Genomic DNA, 22,381 nt, shown 5'->3' with positions numbered 1-22,381 from the left:
GGTTTCGAATGCACAGGAGCAATTAAGTCATTCTCATAATTTCATGTGGTACAGAAAGTCCCAAGCCAAAAATACCATCCTTGGTTCCTACTTTTAGACTTCCAGGGAACTTCCCCCTCCCTCTCTCCCTATAATTCACTTTGATTCCTTCTATTTTTCTCTTCGTGAATGCATTGGCCAGACACAGAGTCCTAGTTTACTTAACAAGGGGCTACAGAGCCAACACAAATCAAAATAAATCCAGCCTTCATTTGGCAGGAATGGTGGAAGTTGGGAATTGCTGGAGGTTCTCAGAAACAAGAGCTTGAAATAAAAGAGCATGTACCCTCATCTCTAGGATGTGAGCATAGGAGATAGGAGAACATGCCACAGAATGATCACTGAAAGATGATGGAGTGTTGGAGGTGGGGCGGGGGTGGGGTAGTTGCATCTGTACTCCCATTATTATTTCAGGGTCCTAGATAACCACAATTAAGTCACTTTATCGTTAGTACAGAAGATTTCTTGTCCCATAGAACCATGACATCAGACCTGTGTTGCTTCCTTAAATAATGAATTTTTCCAAATATCCTTCAGATGCGTATTAACAGTTGCTTCCTGGCAGTCAGGTGGCTGATTTGGTCTGTGTGTGTGTTGGGGGATACATATGTCCATATACTGACTCTCCCTTCATGTGGACCCCCATTTGGGTTATATCAAGAGCTAAATGAAATCTAGTTGGAGATGATTTCAATGTTTCTTCTGTAGGAATAGATAATTACAAACTTATTTATAAGTCTTCTCACTAAAGCAGTGGTTCTCAAAAGCCTTAGCCAGCACCAGAATCTACGGGAGGACTTGTTAAAGCACAGATTGCTGGGCCCCACCCCCATGCCCAGAGCATCTCATTTAGCAGGTTTAGGGTGGGGCCCAAGATGTTGCAGTGCAATGGCGTGATCTCCGCCTCCCGGGTTCAAGCGACTCTCCTGCCTCAGCTTCCTGATTAGCTGTGACTACAGGTGGCATGCCACCATGCCCGGCTAATTTTTTGTATTATTATTATTATTATTATTATTTTTAGTAGAGTCGGGGTTTCATTGTGTTAGCCAGATGGTCTCGATCTCCAGACCTCATGATCTACCTGCCTCGGCTTCCCAAAGTGCTGGGATTACAAGGCATGAGCCACTGCGCCCAGCCAAGACTTTGTATTTCTAACAAGTTTCCTGGTGTTGCTGATGCTGCTGGTTTGGGGGCCCCATTTTGTGAACTAGCATGATCAAGGATGGTGTTCTCGCCTAATCCCAGCACTTTGGGAGGCTGAGGCAGGAGGATCGCTTGAGCCCAGGAGTTTGAAGCTGCAGGGAGCTATGATGCCATTGTAACAGCCAGGGTGACGGAGCAAGATTCTGTCTCTTAAAAAACAAAGAATGGTGCTCTAAACGCAAGGTTTTTCACAGCAGTAGTGACAGCTGCTCCTTTATGCTTCTGTTTCTTCATTTGTGTTGTCCCTGGAAAGTCCCCCTCGTCCCAGTGGCTGAGTCCTCTGCTTCCTCCAGGCTCGGCCCAAGTTCCTGTTCCTCCACGGAACCTTTCCTGATTAGTGCACACGATCTTTTCTCTTCTCTGAACTCTTTCAGTTGTAAAAATGAAACCCTAAAATTTCTTTTGTTGCCTTGTAGTATGCTCAGATTGATGCATGATAATTGTTTTCCCAACTAGACTGAACTGATTTGATTTGTGAACACGATCATCCCTTAGATGCTCTTATGTGTGTTCTTGAACTTAGCACAGAGCCAAGCACAGGACTCAATTATTTATTTTGTGATGAAAGTTCAAAGTGAATTAAGAGAGAAAATATATTGCTGAGTGTTGTAGTCCATTTGGTTTGCTATAGCTGAATACCACAGACTGGGTAATTTATAATGAAAAGGAATTTTATTTCTCCTGGTCCTGGAGGCTGGGAAGTTCATGATCGAGGGGCTGCATCTAGTGAGGGCCTTCTTGCTGCTTCAACACGGCAGAAAGCAACATATGGCAAGTGCGTGCACGAGAAAGAGTGAGAAAGTGTGTGAGAGATAGCAAGACAGGGCCACACTCACTTTTAAAACAAACCCACTCCCACAATAACAGCATCCATTTATTTATGAGGGCAGAGTCCTCATGACCTAGTCACTTCTTAAAGGTTCCCCCTTTTTCTACCTTCAGCACTGTCGCATTGGGGATTGAGTTTTCAGCACATGAACTTTGGAAGACACGTTTAAATCATAACGTTGCCTATAACACCAACTGGGCTTGCCTGATATATAGTGCCAGAGATACCCACCAAATTAAGCTTTATGGTTCTTATATGGTAAACTCATGTGATTTCTGTGCCCAAAGCTGCAGGTCCTTCTGCCTGCTTCAGAACTGCCCAAACTTCTGGTCTTCTAGAGCAGGGGTCCCCAACCCCTGGGCAATACGGTCCGTGGCCTGTTAGGAACTGGGATGCACAGCAGGAAGTAAGCATGCATGAGTGAGCATTACTGTCTGAGCTCTGCCTCCTGTCAGATCAGTGGCGGCATTAGATTCTCATAGGAGCCCGAACCCTGTTATGAACTGCGCATGTGAGGGACCTAGGTGACGTGTTCCTTATTAGAATCTAATGCCTGATGATGTGAGGTGGAACGGTTTCAACCTGAAACCGTTCCACTCCTATGACTGTCATGGAAAAATTGTCTTCCACAAAACCTGTCCCTGGTGTCAAAAACGTTGGAGACTGCTGTTCTAGAGTAAGGACCTTGTGGTTTTGCTCGTTATGATGGACATCCAGGGCCACCCTGGATGGTTGCCTTGACCATGCCTGTTGTCTACTGTGCATGAGAATCAGTTGCTGGACTCCAGGGCAGAGTGATGGCTGGAGGTCAGCATGCAGGCAGGGAAGTGGAGGGGGAAGATGATCATGAGTACATGAGTACGTGGGACAGGCAGGTTGGGGCCAGACTTGAGAGGGCTTACATGGCACACTAAGGGCTTGCTTGGAATTTGTCCTACAGAAAGTGGAGGTTTTTAACAAAATCACATTTGTTCTTTAGAACCATAATTCTGAGACCACTAGCTTCTTACAGAGTATATATACGAAACTACCAAAGGCAACTTGGTGAAGCAGAGGAATTTGGGCACGAAGGCTTGTTTCATCTTGGTGGTCAGCCCTTCCCACCTTTCTTTAGATACTATAATTCATTTCCTAGGGCTGCCTTAACAAATTGCTATGAACTGGTGGCTTAAAACAACAGAAATGTGTTCTCACAATTCCGAAGGCTAGGATTCAAAATCAGCATGGGCATCAGGACCACGCTCCTTCCGAAGGTTGGGGAGATTCTGTTCCATGCTTTTGCTCAGCTTCTAGTGTTGCTGGCCAGCCTTGGCATTCCTTGGCTTGTGGCTGTGTCGCCCCAATCTCTGCCTCCATCATCACATGACCTTCTCCCTGTGTCTGTTTCTGTGTCTCTTCTCTTCTTTAAGGACGTGAGTTATCTTGGATTAAGGCCCGCTTTGCTGACTTCGTCTTAACTTGATTCTATCCGCAAAGACTATTTCCAAATTAGGTCACATTCACAGATACTGTGGCCTAGGACTTCAACATGTCTTTTTTGGAGGCAACACAGTGCAACCCACAACAGATACACACTTCGCTGCACCTTATCATTTTAGGACTCAAGGGGGCAGTGGGTTTGCTGCCACACTCAAGCTGGTCAACTTGGCAGTGTCATGTGTTCTTCGTGAGCGCTAGGAAGCTGCCTGGACCTAGAGTAAGTAATACTAGCAGCTCACTTAAGTAATTATGAAGGGAAGGTGCACAGGACCTAAGCAGCAGGCTGTGGAGAACTGACCAAAAAGACGAGTTAGGGCGCTATTGCAGGTGAGAAATAAGGGGACCTTAAGTAAGGCAGTGGCTGTGAGAACAGAGAGGAAAGGGGAGTAGTCGAGGGGTGGGTCTGAAGGAGAACCACTAAGATCTGATGTAGTGGGAGGAAGGATCAAGGGTGATTCTTAGCCTATTTACAAATGTGGTGGGTGGGGTATATAATCCCTATCAGTATATACGAAGGCCTATCCAGACAAGCTTCTCTTTGTCTCTACCCACTTAAGTTATGCTTTATGTGCTGCCAAGAAGGGTAAAAAGGTGAAAATGATATGGAAGAAACCGAAGGGCAACCTTAGAAATGCATGTGAATAAAGATATTTTAAAGGCAGAAAGACACACATTTGGCCTTTCTGGGAAGATTTCTCTAAACGGAGTGTAGATGTCTCAGGGAATGGCAGCTACTGCCATACTGAGTGGACTTCTCACAAGGCGGTTCTAGGGCCGTCGTCCAGCCTGAGAATACACAGCTGGCTGACCTCCAGGGAGACTCAAAAATTCTTAGTGAACCTGTGTTGCAGGTCATGGCATCACCATCATGATGTCCTGTTATTCTTCAGTAGCATTTAGTAAACAGTTTTTGCATCTGTTTAGTTTACACAGCAATCTTGGAACAATGGAAAATCCTTTGACAAGTCAGAAAATTCAAGTCCTGTTTGTTGTTGTTGTTGTTTTAGTTGCTTTTTTGGGGGTTGTAGTATTGTGAGGAGACACTTAACTTATGGAAGCTTCATTTTGTTTTCAGTAAATGGAGCAGCAACACCATTCTTGTAGCATTACTCTGAGGATAGACATCAGTTAATGTATGTAAGGTGCCGGGCTCAGAGCTAGTGCATAGTACACAATCATCCCTTTTCTCCCTCCCCATCAATCTTCCTTCTCTTCTTTCTTCCAGGTTTTTTTCTTTTAATTTATTTTTAGAGACAAGGTCTCACTCTGTCACCCAGGCTGGAGTGCAGTGGTGTGATCATGGCTTACTGTAGCTTCCGAACTCCCAGGCTCAAGCTATCCTCCCACCTCAGCCTCCCAAGTAGCTGGGACCACAGGCATGCGTCACCAAGCCCAGCTAATCGAACAGGTTTTCTGACTCTCTGAGGCCCAGAGCTCTTTCTGCAATTCTGCCTCTCTGGGGCTAAAATATAAATATATAATAAATAAATAATAAACAAATCCCTCTAGAGGATTTTTTTTTTTTGAGATGGAGTTTTGCTCTTGTCACCAGGTTGAAGTGCAATGGCACAATTACCGCTCACTGTGACCTCCGTCTCCTGGGTTCAAGCAATTCTTCTGCCTCAGCCTCCCGAGTAGCTGGGATTAGGGGCACCTGCCACCATGCCCAGCTAATTTTTTTTTTTTTTTTTTGAGATGGTGTCTTGCTCTGTCACCCAGGCTGGAGAGCAGTGGTGCAATGTCGGCTCACTGCAACCTCCACCTCCCGGGTTCAAGTGATTCTCCTGCCTCAGCCTCCCATGTAGCTGGGATTACAGGTGTGGGCCCCCACACCTGGCTAATTTTTGTATTTTTAGTAGAGACGGGGTTTTGCTATGTTGGCCAGGCTGGTTTCGAACTGCTGACCTCAGGTGATCCACCCGCCTTGGCCTCCCAAAGTGCTGGGATTACAGGCGTGAGCCATTGTGCCCAGCCTAATGTTTGTATTTTTAGTAGAGATGAGGTTTCACCATGTTGGCCATGCTGGTCTCGAACTCCTGACCTCAGGCGATCTGCCCCCCTCAGCCTCCCAAAGTGCTGGGATTACAGGTGTGAGCCACCATGCCCAGCCTATTTTTTTTTTTTTTTTTTTTTTTTTTTTTGAGACAGAGTCTCACTCTGTCACCCAAGCTGGAGTGCAGTGGCATGATCTTGGCTTACTGCAACCTCTGCCTCCTGGGTTCAGGTGATTCTCATGCCTCAGCCTCCCGAGTAGCTGGGACTACAGATGCATGCCACCACATCCGGCTAATTTTTGTTTTTTGTTTTTTAATAGAGACAGGGTTTCACCATGTTGGCCAGGATGGCCTTGAACTCCTGACCTCAAGTGATCCGCTCACCTTGGCCTCCCCAAGTGCTGGGATTACAGGCGTGAGCCACCGCGCCAGCCCCAAGGATTTGTTTTAAACTCACTGGAGCCAGGCGTGGTGGCTCACGCCTGTAATCCCAGCACTTTGGGAGGCTGAGGCGGGTGGATCGCCTGAGGTCAGGAGTTCAAGACCAGCCTGACCAACATGGAGAAACCCCACCTCTACTAAAGATAGAAAGTTAGCCGGCCATAGTGGTGCATGCCTATAATCCCAGCTACTCGGGAGGCTGAGACAGGAGAATGGCTTGAACCCTGGAGGCAGAGGTTGCCGTGAGCCAAGATCGCGCCGTTGCACTCCAGCCTGGGCAACAAGAGCGAAACTCCGTCTTAAAAAAACCAAAACCAAAAACAAAAACTAAACTCATTGGAATCATTTACAAATAATATACTCACCCAAATAGCTAGATTAGGGGTCTTAGAGTCTATGAAGCAAACCCTGAGAGTGAAGGTGGGAAGGAAATGTCAGAATTATAAGCAGGATTAACGTAGATTAAAGTTGACAGAATCTGGTTCTTGCTCTGTCCCTTTCCCATGGTGGCCAGCCCCAGCTGCCCAGCTGCTGTTGTCTGTAAGCCAAAGCTCCTGCGTGTTCTCCTTCCAATAGAAAACGACTGTGCGGAACCTCATCCTCCCCGGGCCCAGGGTGTTGGTGCAGCTGCTGAGGGATCTGGTGAGGTAGCCTATGCTCATGTGCCACTGGAGATGCCCGGAGAGTTCCAATGCCCAGGCCATACCAGCAGCTCCCTGGGTGATGTCCCCTTGGACTTAGTTTCACTCTGAAGCTGGGAAGCAATAGCCTACATTTTCAGTTAAATAAAAGCTGGAAATGATGATCTCGTTAGGCCTGCCTCCTGTACTTCATGCTTTGGTGCTCTCCTTCATTTTCCTGCCAGGAAGACTTTCCCAGTGCCTCTTTCTATATGCTTGCATCCCGTTCTCAAGTCTCTGACCAGCGGTTCCACTTTGAAGTCCATCCCACAGAAGTATTAGCTCAAGGCTGCAAAGATACAGGAATGAGAACGCTTGCTGCAACGCTGCTCATAACAGGGAGACCAGGAAAATAACCCAAAGGGCCATTCACACACCAGGTTTTTGAGATGAATGACATCATGAGCAACTCATGAGCATGAGCACCAGGCGTGCCTCACCATCTTGGCTCCTTGTTGATAACGTGTCAGTCCCTAATATCCAGCCTGACTCCAAGGACTGAGATGATGAGTGTGAAAGTACTTTGTAAATTGCAAATGGTTTTGCAAACCTAAGGGATATGATGAATCAACAATGAGCAAAGTCCTTTGAGACCTTTCACAAATAAAGGCATTTTATATATTTAAATCCTTGGCACTCACAAATTTAGCATTTGAGGTTTTGCCAACCTGTGGAGCAACCCCATGGCAATTTGCCATTTAGCTGAGGCATATATTTTCCTCCATCCACAACCTGAGTATCTCAGACGAGGATGAGGAGTGAGTGAATGAAGGAGAAATGTTAAAATATGATTACATTATAGAGTCTTTAAATGCTCATTAAAACATATATTCGTTCAGTATCTTTTATGCTTTCATTAATGTGCCCTAGGCTATTGAGAAAGAAAGAGTAAGACAAAAAGGTGAAAACTAGAAATATTCTATGTAATGGAAAAGACCATAAATATACTCATAAAACAATTAGTGAGCACAGAAATATACAATCAGGTAATCTATAATAATGTACATGTAATAATCTACAACAGATTTTTTCCCTTATTTTGGATTCTGAGAAGTGAGCACTAACATATTGCAAAGGGATTTAATTGCAAATGATTTGTGTAAACCTGGTGCCATAGAAAAACTTCTGGGGTTGAATTTAATTTTATCGCATTTAAATAGAAAAATGCCCACCTGAGAATATGCAGCTGTAATTACGAGGGAGTTTTATTGGTTGTTACTGTGGCATGTGTTTATTTCTCTCCCACTTAACATTCTGGATGGAGGGAGTTCAAGGCTGCTGTGTAGCTCTGCAGTTGTCTGGTTTTCCTGCTCTGCCATCCTTAGGGTATGGCCTTGGTCTGTCCTCATCCTTATGGGCCCCCAGTGAAGCTCTGATCAAGACCTCCTAATTTTGAATGTCCTAGAACTTGAATACACCCCTTCCACTTATGTCACACGGCCACATCTAAACTACATGGTAGGCTGGGAATGAATTTTTTATTCTGGGTAACTGTGTGTCCAATAAAAAGCCCGAGATTTTATAACTCAAGGAAAGGAAGCACAGCTCACAATTGCTGCCACAGGTCAGCCTCTGTCTGTCCATGAGCCAGTTGTTCAGATGGGAGGAAATCTGAATAGAGGAAGAGACAAGTCAGGCAAGAAAGTTGTGACTCAGGGTTTATCTCATCTGCTGGGGAGTTCAAGGGGCAGTTTAATACTGGCTGTATTTTTCGTTTCTCTAAGTAGAAGTTTCATTTAAGTTACTGTGGAATAGGCTGGGCGTGGTGGCTCATGGCTGTAATCCTAGCACTTTGGGAGGCTGAGGTGGGCGGATCACTTGAGCTCAGGAGTTCGAGACCAGCCTGGGCAACATGGCAAAACTCCATCTCTACTAAAAATACAAAAAATTAGCCGGGCATGGTGGTGTGTGCTTGTAGTCCCAACTACTCAGAAGGCCGAGGTGGGAGGATTGCTTGATCCCGGGAGGCAGAGGTTGCAGTGAGCTGAGATCATGCCACTGCCCTCCAACCTGGGCGACAGAGTGAAACCCCATCTCGATAGATAAATAAATAATAAATAAATTGTGGAATGATCTTCTTTGACATTCTGCTAGATATGAAGGCTGCTTAGAGGCAGTTGTTTGAGAAAGAAAAAAGCAAGCCCTGACCTCCAGGAACTGGTGACAGTGGACGCTATACACCACTCGTTCACAGTGTTGCTCGACGCTGGTCAGGTGCTCACAGCTCGGCCATGTTGTCTTCCTGTTGGCCATAAGCCGACTCACAGAGCACTGACCTTGGACAAGGTCATGGTGAAACCATGGTAAATAGAGACAAAGCAAAGCCACTTCATATTTTTTTCTGAGCACAGACACAAAAAAGTTTCCTGTAGGACCCATAATTTTGATTATGACAGGGTAAAGACAAGTTCCATTTTCTAGGATTTGATTTGAGCCAAGGTCAATGAATAGCTTATTTTGTAGCTTAATTGACAACAGTAAATACTTTTGCAGTCTTAGGTCCCGCTTGATCTGTACTAGGGAGGGTAATTTGAACCAAGAGCCTGATTCCCGGGCATTTCTGCCCTAACCAGATCACGGGCTAAGGATGCAACAGAGCATAGTTTCAGCAGAGCCCCCTTGAAAAAAAAGTTATGCTGAATCCATGATGCAACATCCATTTGAAATGAGGAAAAAGAAGGCAAAGATGACATGATTTATTTTGTGTCATACCTAAATAATTAGAAGAAAGCCCCTTTTTCTAGTAGCACCTATAAAAATTTCACTGGGCTTTGGAGGTCTAAAGGGAAATTCTAGCACATATTTCAGCTCCAGTTAATCCAAGGTTACCATCATCTCAGTTTTGTGAAGAGATGGAAAGAAGCCAACTGAAACAGTAGCGTAGGAACCCAGCCCTGCCTTTTGCTTTATATGTGACCTTGGCCACGTACCTGACCTTCACCTTTCTCATATAGAAAAAGAAAATAGGCGGGCCGCAGTGGCTCACGCCTGTAATCGCAGCACTGTGGGAGGCCAAGGCAGATGACTCACCTGAGGTCAGGAGTTTGAGACCAGCTTGACCAACATGGTGAAACCTCATCTCTACTAAAAATACAAAAATTAGCTAGGCGTGGCGGTGTGTGCCTGTAATCCCAGCTACTAGAGAGACTAACGCAGGAGAATCGCTTGAACCCAGGAGGCAGAGGTTGCAGTGAGCCAAGATTGCGCCGTTGCACTCCAGCCTGGGTGACAAGAGCGAAACTCCCTCTAAAAAAAAAAAAAAAAAAGAAAGAAAAGAAAATGAAAATAGAGACGCCTGCCTGATACTCCTCCAGGCATCACTTTAATGTGTATGGAAACTCTTAACTGTGAAAGGCCATATATCCAGGAAACGGGCCATTATATTCCTGCTGTTGTTGTTAATTTTATCAGAAGAGAGTCCTACACTGCCGACTCAGTAGAACAAGTAGCTTTTGAGCAATGGTTTTGTGTGCAGTCACTGTGCCTGGTGTTTTGTGCCACCGCCTTTCCCTGTCACATTTGTGAGCCAGGGAGAGGGGCAAATGCGAGATGATCACACTTCAGTGCCACTACTCGCAGATACCATCTCGCTGTGGGATTATGCTGCTTACTCCGAGGAGAGATCTGGAAGGCACTGTTGCCTCTTGCTTTTGCATTTTATGTATCTATTTATTTATCTTTTTTAATTTCTTCCTTTTTATTTATTTCTTTCTTTATTTTTAGACAGAGTCTCACTTTATTACCCAGGCTGGAGTGCAGTGGTACGGTCTCGGCTCACTGCAACTTCTGCCCCTCGGGTTCAAGCAATTCTCCTGCCTCAGCCTCCTCAGTAGCTAGGAAAGGGTCTCACTGTGTTGCCCAGGCTGAAGGACTATGGCACAATCCCGTCTCACTGCAGCCTCGACCTCCTGGCTCAGGTGATTCTCCCATCTCAGGCTCCCAAGTAGCTAGAACTACAGGCACATGCCACCACCACACCCGGCCAATTTTTGTATTTTTGGTAGAGACAGGGTTTCGCCACGTTGCTCAGGCTGGCTTTTGCATTTTAGATGATGGATTTTATCAAGCTGACATCTAATTCTAACAATCAAATTTAGACTTGATGAGGGTCTGAAGCTGAAGACTTTATTTGCAGCATGGAACTCACCTGCCAAGCTGGCTTCTCAAAATACCAGCCAGGCATTACATTTTCTTCTGTGTGGGAACCAGTTAATATGTAGGTGGCTTGGAGTGATTCTGAGGGGTATTCTCACCAGACAACAACTGAAAGTTTCCTTTCTCCACTCTAGAGATGCCTTGGCCTAAGAGATTGTATTCATAGGTGCCCTGGTCAAAATGTCCTTCTCCCCTGGGCAGGACTGGAGACAGCTTTACCAGTCCTTAACTTCCAATGCCATTTTTAGCTTCTAAATTGGCAAGTGTCTTTTATTTACTTTCAATAATTTTTAACATATTTGTATAATTTATATAGTGTCCAGAGTTTATAATGTATTACTTTACACCTCATTTTTCAGTTGTAAATGGAATAAAATTGATCAAGCCCCAAGGTGTGTCAGGCACTGTGTTAGATGGACTCTGGAGATTCAGAGAAAAAGAGACAGATTTCTTTGCTCAGGTGGCATGCAGCGCCTAGTCAAAAAATCAGTTGTGTTATGTCTAATTAAGGTCAAGACGACATGTGAAATCCAATAATACAGATGAGTCCTAGACACAGAACTTTTCCTCCTGGCCTCATGAGTTAGATTGTGGCACCCTTGTCATGGATGAGGAAAGTGAGACTAAGCGGCCTTAAGTGACTGCAGTGGTCACCCAGCTAAGGTGTTCTGACTTCTAAATACTGGCCTTGTCTACCCAGCACACTGCCCCGCGTCTCACCTTGTCAGCATTCTTTTGCAGTATGTTGCCATTTCAAGATGGCATGTTAATGTCTGTGATCATATAGAAGGTCTATTTTGGGGTGCCTTTTTTCTCAAGACATTTAGGACAGTGCCTTCGTTAATTGGACATGTCCCTAAATCTTACTTGAGTCACAAACTGATCCCCTCATTGGCACGCTGGTTTCTGTTAGCCTCAAGGTGTACTCTTTTCTAACTTTTCCTGCCTTTTTTTCTCCCCACATCTGATGCTCATGGTGCCTGGGACTTTCCTGAGAATTGGCCAGACCCCATGTTCTTATTACCTCCAACAGAGGCTTTAGTTCTGCCAGGCAGGGGACGAACCTACCTTTACGTAGGTGTTCTGTTTGCATTAGTTTGAAAATGGGTTTGAGGGCAGGGGAAGGTAAGTTATTTGAGTGCATAGCAATTAGGATGAGGGTATGTATTAGGAAAAACGAATCAGTAGTATCACAGATGATCTCTTGATGTTATCAAAATAACTCATTGATATGACATCTTCAGGTTAGCTTTCCCGTTCTCTATCTTGGAAGTCAACCCTGTGAGGTTGGAAACAAAAGAGTTAAAGAGAATCCCCTGGGCCACCCAGCCAGTAGTAAGTCGCAGAAGAGGAATTTGGAGTCCGCTCTTCAGGCTCCAGCAGGCTCCAGTGCTAAGCCTCTTCTCTCTGCCAGGTCATGGCAGAATATGGACTTAGCCACAATAAAGCTGCCTCAAGGACCGAGGAGAGTGGTTGTTACTGACTGACTTTATTCCTCTCAGCATCCAAGAAGATCTCTTCAATTAAACATTATAGCCTTCGGGCATTAGCCCAGGAGACACAGTTGAGGGTCCTAGGTGCTTTCACTTAAGGCAGGGCTGTTGAGTCGGTGAGGGGATGAGGGCATCTCAAAAGAAGGCTGGCTTTCAGGATTGCACAGAGATGTTCCTGCTCCCAGCAGACTGGGGTAAAATTTCCTGGGAATGAGGGCATTTCTGAGGAAAAGAGAAGGGAAATTTTGTTGACTACAAGTTGCTATAGTATAAATGGGAGAATTAATCTATTTTTAAATGCTCAGATGTAAAGATACATTCTTATTGTTGAATCCATATTTTCCTCAAAAGAGAGTGGAGACATTAATTAGGAAGACATTTTTAATACATCTTGAGGATTCAGAGGCTGCCACTGATAAAATTTAAAAAGGAAAACAAATGTGCCAGGTGCGGTGGCTCACACCTAGCACTTTAGGAGGTCGAGGCAGACGTATCACCTGAAGTCAGGATTTCAAGACCAGCCTGGCCAACATGGTGAAGCACCATGTCTACTAAAAGTACAAAAATTAGCCAGGTATGGTGGCATGTGCCTGTAATCCCAGCTACTCCAGAGGCTGAGGCAGGAGAATCTCTTGAACATGGGAGGCAGAGGTTGCAATGAGCTGGCATGGTGCCAGTGCACTCTAGCCTGGGCAACAGAGCAATACTCTGTCTCAAAAAAAAAAAAAAAAAAAGAAAAAAAAGGAAAAAAAGAAAGATATACAATAAGCTCCCTCCTCCAAGAGTTTGTTATGATTGTGATTTTATCGTTTGGCTAGCTTCTTAGAGCTAGCCTGTGAGACCTTCAAGAAAGCCTGTCAGGATTTTTCATAATCATAGCTCCAACAAAAGAGGGGCAGTTTGGGAATTTCTTTTTTAATGGGAACCCCGGAAGATTTATAGCTAGAAGGCGATCACAGGTTTCTAGATCAGTGCACCAGCGTTCAGCTTCCTTTTACAACATGTGGCCCACTTCCAGGTTTCAAAAAGTGTGACCGCATCATGGGTAGACTCACTTCCTCTTGTGCTTAGGTCTGAGAATGAGCGGGCAGAGTGGGGAAATAGCAGTGGGTGGGGAGGGTGGTGTCTGAAGATGTTTGTGGGAGTGTCCAGTGGTTCTAAGCCTCTAGAAGTATCTTTGCCAATAAAGACTCAGAAATGGGAATGGGGGTGTGTGTGCACACCAGAAATGGCCGTGTGTGTGTGCCTGTGTGCACCAGAAATGACCGTGCGTGTGTGTGTGTGTCTGTGTGTGTGTGTGTGTGCGCGTGCTGGGCAGGCAGAGCCATGGGAACAGGAAAACCCAGCACCCCCTTCAGCCTTTTCCTAGGGACTGGCATTCATTGCCAGGCATGCTGGTTGGGAAGAACTGCCCAAGATTTTCATCTAGAAGAGATTCAAGAGGACCCAAAGCCCAGGCTCTTAGGATTTCACCAGATGATAAATTATAAAGTAGCTGACTGGTTTGTGGTGAACAGTTGCTCAAATGCCCTTTTAGCTTCTCAGTGGTGACAAAGTATATCTCACGGAGATCTTACATTACATTAAAGATTTAGGGGTTCCAGTTAGGATATTTAAAACCTTTGCCAGATAGGAGATGGTATCACATACCTCACACCAAATTTGTGCGTCTCACAGCTGGGCATTGAGATTTTTAAAATAGCAACTTCTGAGTGGAAAATTGTTAGGGAAAATCTAATCAACTTAATTTAAATGGCATAAATGATGATTAGAGCTAATTATCGTCAGAATTTGGGCTGGTGTTTCTAAAATGAAACTACAGAGTTTCTTTAAATGGGGTCATCAGGTTAGGATTCAGTTGTCAAGAAAGATCAATGATTTGTGTGAACTCACAGTCTTCTCAGCTTACCTGGTAGCCAGGGGTAATATTTCACACTTCGGAGTGAATTGCATTTATATTCTTTTTCTTCATAGCTCACTCAGGATTTTTAGAAGATGAAAGAATTGAATCTTATGGCAACAAAGCCCATTTCTTCACAGTGGAACTATAAATGCAGACTTAAGTAATTAATTTGTAAACCTTTGTATCTTTTTAAAACATCATCCTATCCCCAAGGCCTAACATAAGTTTTGTTGACTAGGTGAAATGATTGAATCAGTGAATGATTGAATAAATGAAAAATATAGGATGCAGTTCAGGAAAGAAAACCACAAGAGTGCGGCGGCTATTTAAAAAATGCCATCCCTGTAATTACTGTTATTGCCAATTCCTGTTTGTGTTTATGAAGCCTGAGGAATTTTGGAGGGCACTACCAGTAATTTGTATCTCATTACTCAAGCTAAGGGAGGGATAAATGAATCCTAAATGTAAACCTTTTACCGTCAAAATGGAAAACCTGTGTTTTTCCAGTGATGTGTCAGCAGTAGCTATTAATATTAAAATCACGAACCTACACACATACCTTTAAGAAATGGACTCCAGGCTTGTAAAACATGTGGCCGTAATATTGGCAGAGCAAGAATCTTTGGCCTCTGAATAAGCTCACTGGCCTTCATGTCTGTGATAATTTGCCATAGAGACCAGGCTTTTTTTCTGAGGATCTATCCCAGTCACTGTAGTTGTGGAAGTGGTGGTTCTTGTATAACAAAGTCATCTGAGGTAATATTTCCACACAATAATTTTTAGCAAAAAGAAAATGTTTAATGGTTATCCCAGGTGGCAGCAGATTCCCTTGTGGAAACAAGAATGGCGGGAATCAAAGGTTGGGCATAGAGAAGAACTTTCCTCTTTGTGATTCAAGGACAGATGTTGGCAACCTCTTTGAACTGAATGATTGGACTCCATCCTTTTCACTCATGTTGTCCTTTACCCCCAGTCCTCACCTGGATTTAAGCGATCTGGTCTGAAAGAACTCCTTCCATTTCTACCCTTTAAATAGGTTCTTATTTAATGCCACTGTAGTCAAGGAAGAGAGGGGGAACAGGATTGGAGCAGGGGTGAGGTTCACAGGCACCCCGAGGGAGGAAACCAGACGTGAACATCCCACACATAGCAGCTTTGCATATGGACAGACCTGATTTCCTTCTATGCCTCTTCCCACAGTGCTGTCTGGGCCATTAAGAATCACCTTGACTCATAGTTCTGGTTTTCAGTTCAGCTTCTAGGAATGCATGATTTCACACCTTGTGGAGGTAGAACGCAGTATCACTGATCAGGGCACAGCTATCGGGCAACCTCAGCCTCTCTGGAACTCAGCGGGCTGTGAGGAAGTCATGTATCTAAGAAGCCCAAACACATACTCCATGGCCCTTGACTGTCTGAAAAACTCAGTTTCGGAGTTTAATACATTCCCCCAGGGTACCAAATAACTAGATTTGTAAATGTAAATTTTTTCAGTCAGTTCTTAAGGTTTGATGAGGAACAGGATATTTACATAGTCGCAAAGTATCTCACCACAAATCACTTTGCATTTGTAATAGGAAAAATTACGCAGTGGGGAAGTTGGAAAATACTTAACCAAATGATGAAAGTGAATATCACCTACAAATATCATGTACCTCTGGACATCATGCCCTCAGAAGGACACAAAATTATTTGCCTAGAATTCTAGTCAAAAATGTGAAAGATGAATCTAAGTATGACAAATATCAGGCAAACTCAAATGGAGGGAAATTCTATAAAATAACTTGCCTGAACTGTTTAAAATGTCACCATCATAAAAGACAAAGGAAAACTCATGCCTGTAATCCCAGCACTTTCAAAGCCCACGGTGGGAGGATCACTCGAGCTTAGGAGTTCAAGACCAACCCGGGCAACATAGTGAGACCTCATCTGTACTAAAATTCAAAAAAATTAGCCAAGCATGGTAGTGCACACCTGTAGTCCCAGCTACTCCAGGGCTGAGGTGGGAGGATCACTTGAGCCCAGGAGGTCGAGGTGGCAGTGAGCCCTCATCGCACCACTGTACTCCAGCCCAGGCCACAAGAGCACGACCCTGTCTCAAAAAATTATAAAAATTTTAAAAGCCAGACATGGTGGCTTTTTATCCCAGCACTTTGGGAGGCTGAGGCAGGCAGATCACCTGAGGTCAGGAGTTTGAGACTGGCCTGGCCAACATGGCAAAAACCCCATCCCTACTAAAAAAAAAAAAAAAAAAAAAAAATTAGCTGGGTGTGGTGGTGCGTACCTGAAATCCCAGCTACTCAGGAGGCTGAGGCAGGAGAATCATTTGAACCAGGAGGCGGAGGTTGCAGTGAGCTGAAATCGTGCCACTGCATTCCAGCCTGGGTGACAGAGTAAGACCCTGTCTCTAAAAAAAAAAAAATTCTGACAAATGTGGTACATGATCCTGCACCAGGGGAAAAAATAAGTAATAAAGGACATGATTGGGATAATAAAATTAGAATATTGACTTGTATAAAAAGTATTCTATCGATGTTAAATTTCCTGGCCGGGTGCGGTGGCTCGCGCCCGTAATCCCAACACTTTGGGAGGCCGAGGCGAGTGGATCATGAGGTCAGGAGATCGAGACCATCCTGGCTAACACAGTGAAACTCTGTCTCTACAAAAAAACACAAAAAATTAGCCGGGCGATTAGCCGGGCGTGGTAGCGGGCGCCTGTAGTCCCACCTACTCGGGAGGCTGAGGCAGAAGAATGGCGTGAACCCGGGAGGCGGAGCTTGCAGTGAGCCGACATCATGCCACTGCACTTCAGCCTGGGCGACAGAGCGAGATTCCATCTCAAAAAAAAAAAAAAAAAAGAAAAAAGTATGTGAATTCTTTGTATATTTGTGTAACTGTTGTATTGAATTTAAAAATAGATGGTTTAAACAGCCCTACCTTCATTGTCCTGCACTCAAACACAAAACAAACAGAAAACCCAGTTGTCTGCTTTACTCTGGGATGGATCAGCAATCACTAAAAGGACTGGAAGAGGTCTCCATCCCCTCTGCCCCTCACCCTTCCTCCAAAATCAAGTCACTCCAGTTGATGTGGACAGTGCCTGCAGAGAGACACCTACCAGCACGTCCCGACTGTGTTTCAAGGGCAATTAAGCCCAGGGAACTGCTGGGCAAATGAGCTGTTCTCCCTAGGCCTTCATGCTGGCCTGTGTTGGTAGGAGCCCCCGCTCTGCCATGCAGAGCCAAGAATTTTCTCAGCAACAGTAATGGTGGCCGCAAATTGAGGTCAGTAGGAAAACAGATCTGTTTTGGTTTGTAATGTTGCACACAATTTGGTGAGTGAACAGAAAAGAATGTACCCCAGTGAAGGGACAGCCTGTGAACGCTGTGTTTGGTTCTGAATATCCTTATGATGCCCAGCATAGAAAACAGGAAGCATCAGTTAAAATGGGAAATTGCTGTGGGCTGGATTACTGTAATTCCTCGTCTTACTTAGAAGTTGGCATAGAGCAGGGTCCTTTATCCACAGCGTGATGTCTCTTGCTTTTCTATGCCTTGATAATTTTGCCCTTTCTTTAGGGTGGTGCATTGCTAAGCTGACAGGCTTTTAGGCTGGAATTGCTACCTTTTAGTATGCTTAGAAATTGTGTTTTTAAAGAGCTGTTTGTTTTTTCTCTGTCTCTGGGTTAAAAGCAGTCTAGCTCCACTGCTGGTTCTGGTTCCCTCCTCCTGCCCCCTCTTTAGGTCTAAGTAGGCGAGATTGAGCACACAGAGGGACTCACAGCTCAGCTTAATAATAACCCCGCAGTAAGTGACATAGCCATTGTTACACTAGACAGATACACAGAGGTAAGTTCTCCAAAGCAGATGAGCTGGACCGGAAATTTGCACATCAGTCCTTCCCCGTCTCTTCCACTCCTTTGGGGTCCTCCAAAGCAGGAGGGGAATTTTGCCAGCCTTTCCACGCTGTAACACCGAGATAATTATACCTGCTCTCCGCCCTCCTGGCAGAGTTGTTTTAGGACTCTCCTGGGATGATTAACGGCTAAGTTGTGAAACACTGGGAGCAAATGCGAGGTGGCATTATTTTCTCTCGCTGGATGGGGATCTGACTACAGTAGTTGGTCCCTTTCCCTCTGGAAAGAAGACAGTTTTTCTGCATGACCTGGGCTGCACCCTCTGATGGAGATTCCATCTTGGCTGCCTGTTTCCTGTCTGTAGTGCCAAGTACTCAGCCTTGCCTTCCTGGCCCTCCTTCGGTCAGCTCTATTTTCCTACTTAACCGAGGCTACCGTTTCCTCAACACAAATCCGCCTTTCTAGTCCAGTTGGTCTTTTTAGGGGGTTTTCACGTGGTGAAAAGCTCAGTGCAAACACAAGCGATGTTGTTACCCTCGTCCATGCCTTTACTCTCCTTGTTTCCCTCTCAGGAATGCCTTTTTTTTCCTCCTCTCTCCCAATTCAGTGCTTAAGCTTTTTTCAGTCCTAACTCAAATCTGATCTCCCTGAAGCCTCCTAGGATGACTCAACTTTTAGTGATTTTGTCTCATTCATTACTTCATTGAACAGGCATTTATAAAGCCACTTATGTGCATGGCTCTTTATTAGGACAAGGAGAGTTCAGAGATGAGGCATGCCCCATCCTCAGGTCACTTACAGTTGAGAAAGGGAGGGAGAGGAGATATAAATAAGCCAACAGTGGGGGTCAGAGGACAGACAAGATTACCGATAATCTGGGAACTTGCAGGCTTTAAAGAGGTAGCATTTGCATGGGGTCTTCAAGGATGGACTAGATTGAACATGCAGGATATTTGGTCCAGGTGGTGAGAACATCATGGACTAAGATGCAGAGGTCAGATGTTCCATGCAAAGAGCCCCAGGCAGACTGGTGGCAGGAGCATGAGGCATTGTGGGAAATAGCACTGGCAAGGAGAGTGGGCTATGAGCTAGGCTAAGGAATTTGAACCTCACTGACTGGTAGGGAGGAGCTCCCCTGAGGGCAAGAGAAACCCTGGCTGTTAGGAAGAGTCAAACCCCCGTCCTGTGGGGGCTGAAACGACAGGGGCAAGGGAGCCAAGAAGGCCTGTGTTCTCCCTTGAGTTCCTGTGGCTGCCATTGACAATTGAAAGCGGGAGGGCAAAGATACTGGCATTTCCAGGACATTTTGTGGTATATGGCATGACGTGACCAAGCACAGCTATCTCTCACTATCCAAAGCTGTTTATTTCCAAGTTCAATGGGGTTTGGGTAGGACATTTGGGAATAAGGAATGCTCCTTTGTCCAAATCTATTTGGAATAGGAAGTAGTGAGATTCCAGATAAGAGGTGATTTATCAAAAATTTTATACAGATCTATTTAGTTCCTGATTTTGGACCTCAGAGAATGAGGGATATCTGCCTTTGAAGCAGCTGGCCCAGGAAAATCCGAGAGACCTCTAAGGGGCACGATCATGAGATAGAACTCACACCAAACCATCTCAGACTGTTACAGTTTGTCTAGTTGGTTAACATAAGCAGGGGTGATATAAAATGTTTAAATAGTTAGCAACATGAATACCGAACAATCAGGGTGGAAGCCAGCCAGACGCTCTTTCCAGTGGGAACTGAGTATCAGTTCTGTATATATGTCAGGGTTTCTGTTGTTATTTTGTTTTGTTTGAGACAGGGTCTTGCTCTGTTGCCCAGGCTGGAATGCAGTGGTACAATCATGGCTCACTGCAGCTTTGACTTCTCAGGCTCAAGCATTTCTCCACCTCAGCTTCCCAAGTAGCAGGGACCACAGGCATGCGCCACCATGCCTGGCTAACTTTTGCATTTTTAGTAGAGACAGGGTTTCACCATGTTTCCCAGGCTAGTCTCAAACTCCTAGGCTCAAGTGATCCACCCACTTCAACCTCTCAAAGTGCTGGGATTACAGGCGTGAGCCACCACAGCTGGCCCATATATCAGGGTTTTTTGTTTTGTTTTGTTTTTGCTACATCAGATGAAAAAACTTTTGAGGGCTTCATTTACCTTTTCTGAATTCACTGTGATGCCTAAAACAACACTGTACATATGTTAGGGGCTTAATATTTTAGATTCAGCTGAATTTCATTAGCTTTATACATATTTTTTAATTTCACAAAAATTATTTATTTTATTTTGTTTTTTTTTTTAGAGGGAGTCTCACTCTGTCACCCAGGCTGGAGTGCAGTGGTGTGATCTTGGCTCACTGCAACCTCCACCTCCCAGGTTCAAGCGATTCTCCTGCCTTGGTCTCCCAAGTAGCTGGGATTACAGGTGCCTGCCACCACGCCTGGCTAATTTTTGTATTTTTAGTAGAGATGGGGTTTCACCATGTTGGCCAGGCTGGTCTCAAACTCCTGACCTCAAGTTAATAATCATGCCAGCATTATGGACTGTTGGGACAATTGAATGAGTTAGTATAAGTAAAGTGCTTAGAATGTTGCTTGGCAGATAGGGAACCCTCAATAAACTTAACTGGGAGGGGGTTTCATTCTAAGCCAGTGTGCCTTCCATCTGGTAGATGGGGGTGATTGTCCGTTGCCCTTCTTTTCCTAGCAGAATAAAAAGGGTGCCTTGCTGAATTCTAAACTGTTTTCTCCCACTCAGTGCAGACTTATTCCTTACCTGTGGTGTTTGGACCAATGGTACCCCCATGCCTCCCTGTGCAACTCCAGAAAAGTGGCTTCCCCAGCCCAGCACACAGGACAGCTTAAACAGTTTATGAGCCGAGGCCTCCCCTTTGTCTACAAACTCCCATTTGCCTGCCACCTCAAATCCTATGGGATAGATCCCCCTGAGACTTTATACAACAAGGTCACCTCTCAAGCTCTGGCTTGTAGAAATTTAGTCCCTTCTTTGGCAATGTGGATGCCTGAAGTAGTAGATAGTGGGCTATGTTCAGATAAGAAAGACCCCCTAAATGGGTAGACCCACGCTCATTTCGCGGTCTTGTTTGTAGCTGTAGTACTGTCGCAGTTCAGTTGAGATTTTCATCACACTGGTCAGGAAATTCATAGTGAAGGTTACTACAGCAACCTTAACTCTGCTCTGGAAAGCATAGCCCTTACAATGGGGCCTTTCAGAGGCTGGCCCTGAAGCTGGGCAGTGATTCAGTCTATTCAGAACACAATGGGGCAAACCAGAATAGAAAGGAACTGCACATTGTTTTAGGCCTCCCATTGCCATCTGTAGCATTTCGTATTGTTGTCCATCCTTGCGGCCAACATGAGTTTTAGTTTCTCTAGTAACGCACTTTAAATTTCAGAACTCATATGCCTGCCAGTCGTAGTACATTTCATGGGAGTTGAAATAGTAATAATAATTCTGTAGTGGTGTACAAACTCACAGCCAGAAGATGCTGTAGAAACACATGTAGGAAAAGGTGGATTAAGGCTTTTCATTTGGAGACAAGGGAAACACCCATTGGGTGTGTTTGAAACAAAACTGATGAATTTGCCTTGAAATCCTGTAAAACTATCATAGATTTTTTTCTTTAAAAAGAATGTAATCTTTAAATGACCAGTAAAATAAAATCACCCCTTGCCTTTATCCACAGCCACTCAAAACAAATCCACTCACCAAACAAAATTTACTTAACAATAGGATCTGAACGGTTTACTTACATTTTTAAATCTAGAGAGTGTTGGGTAGATTTTAAAAAGCTGAATTTAGCTATTTAGCATGTGAACTATAGTTATACTAAGCAAAAGAGCTGTGGTTTCCTTAGAATGAGAGTTGGAAGGAAACTTTTTAAAATTTTTTTTTCCTTTAGAGCATTTATGGTATTTGATTTATTCATACTGCTTGCCCTGTGATCAAACAACTTTTCTTTGTTGTCTATTTAGATCCCTAGGGTTGTTTTATTTCCTTCCCTTCTTTAATGTTTCCCTCATGTTTAATTTAAATCATTTGCTTTTTATCTTCCTCGGCATCTCAAGCTATTTCTCTTTTTGTTAATCTTTGTTTTCTCTCTCTCTCTCTCTTTTTTTTTTTTTTTTTTTTTTTTTTTTTTAGTATTTTTAGTAGAGACGGGATTTCACCATGTTGGCCAGGCTAATCTCAAACTCCTGATCTCAGGTGATCCGCACGCCTTGACCTCCCAAAGTGCTGGGATTACAGGTGTGAGCCACCACGCCTGGCCACCTTTGTTCTCTTTTTGCTG

The 22,381-nt window shown here is 44.5% G+C and overlaps 1 protein-coding gene across 1 annotated transcript in view, besides 2 other annotated features; it reads left to right on the top strand.

Annotated features, from left to right (window-relative positions):
* The window catches only part of MYO1E (myosin IE), a 240,438-nt gene that overhangs the window by 58,958 nt on the left and 159,099 nt on the right, over positions 1–22,381 (top strand). The window lies entirely within an intron of this gene.
* Positions 9,521–9,697: a silencer, noted in NCBI's record as "fragment chr15:59596416-59596592 (GRCh37/hg19 assembly coordinates)". NCBI's record gives its function as "represses an EF-1alpha promoter that drives an FKBP-Casp9 reporter gene in an ReSE screen in HepG2 liver carcinoma cells {active_cell/tissue: HepG2}" and the evidence as "EXISTENCE:reporter gene assay evidence [ECO:0000049][PMID:32094911]".
* Positions 15,580–15,639: a silencer, noted in NCBI's record as "silent region_6487". NCBI's record gives its function as "represses an Ori minimal core promoter by ATAC-STARR-seq in GM12878 lymphoblastoid cells {active_cell/tissue: GM12878}" and the evidence as "EXISTENCE:reporter gene assay evidence [ECO:0000049][PMID:35858748]".

This window comes from Homo sapiens, chromosome 15, assembly GCF_000001405.40.
Source record: "Homo sapiens chromosome 15, GRCh38.p14 Primary Assembly".
Classification (NCBI taxonomy): Eukaryota; Metazoa; Chordata; class Mammalia; order Primates; family Hominidae; genus Homo; species Homo sapiens.
Note: the sequence above shows the minus strand (reverse complement) of the source record. Positions and strands in the feature narration are given on the sequence as shown.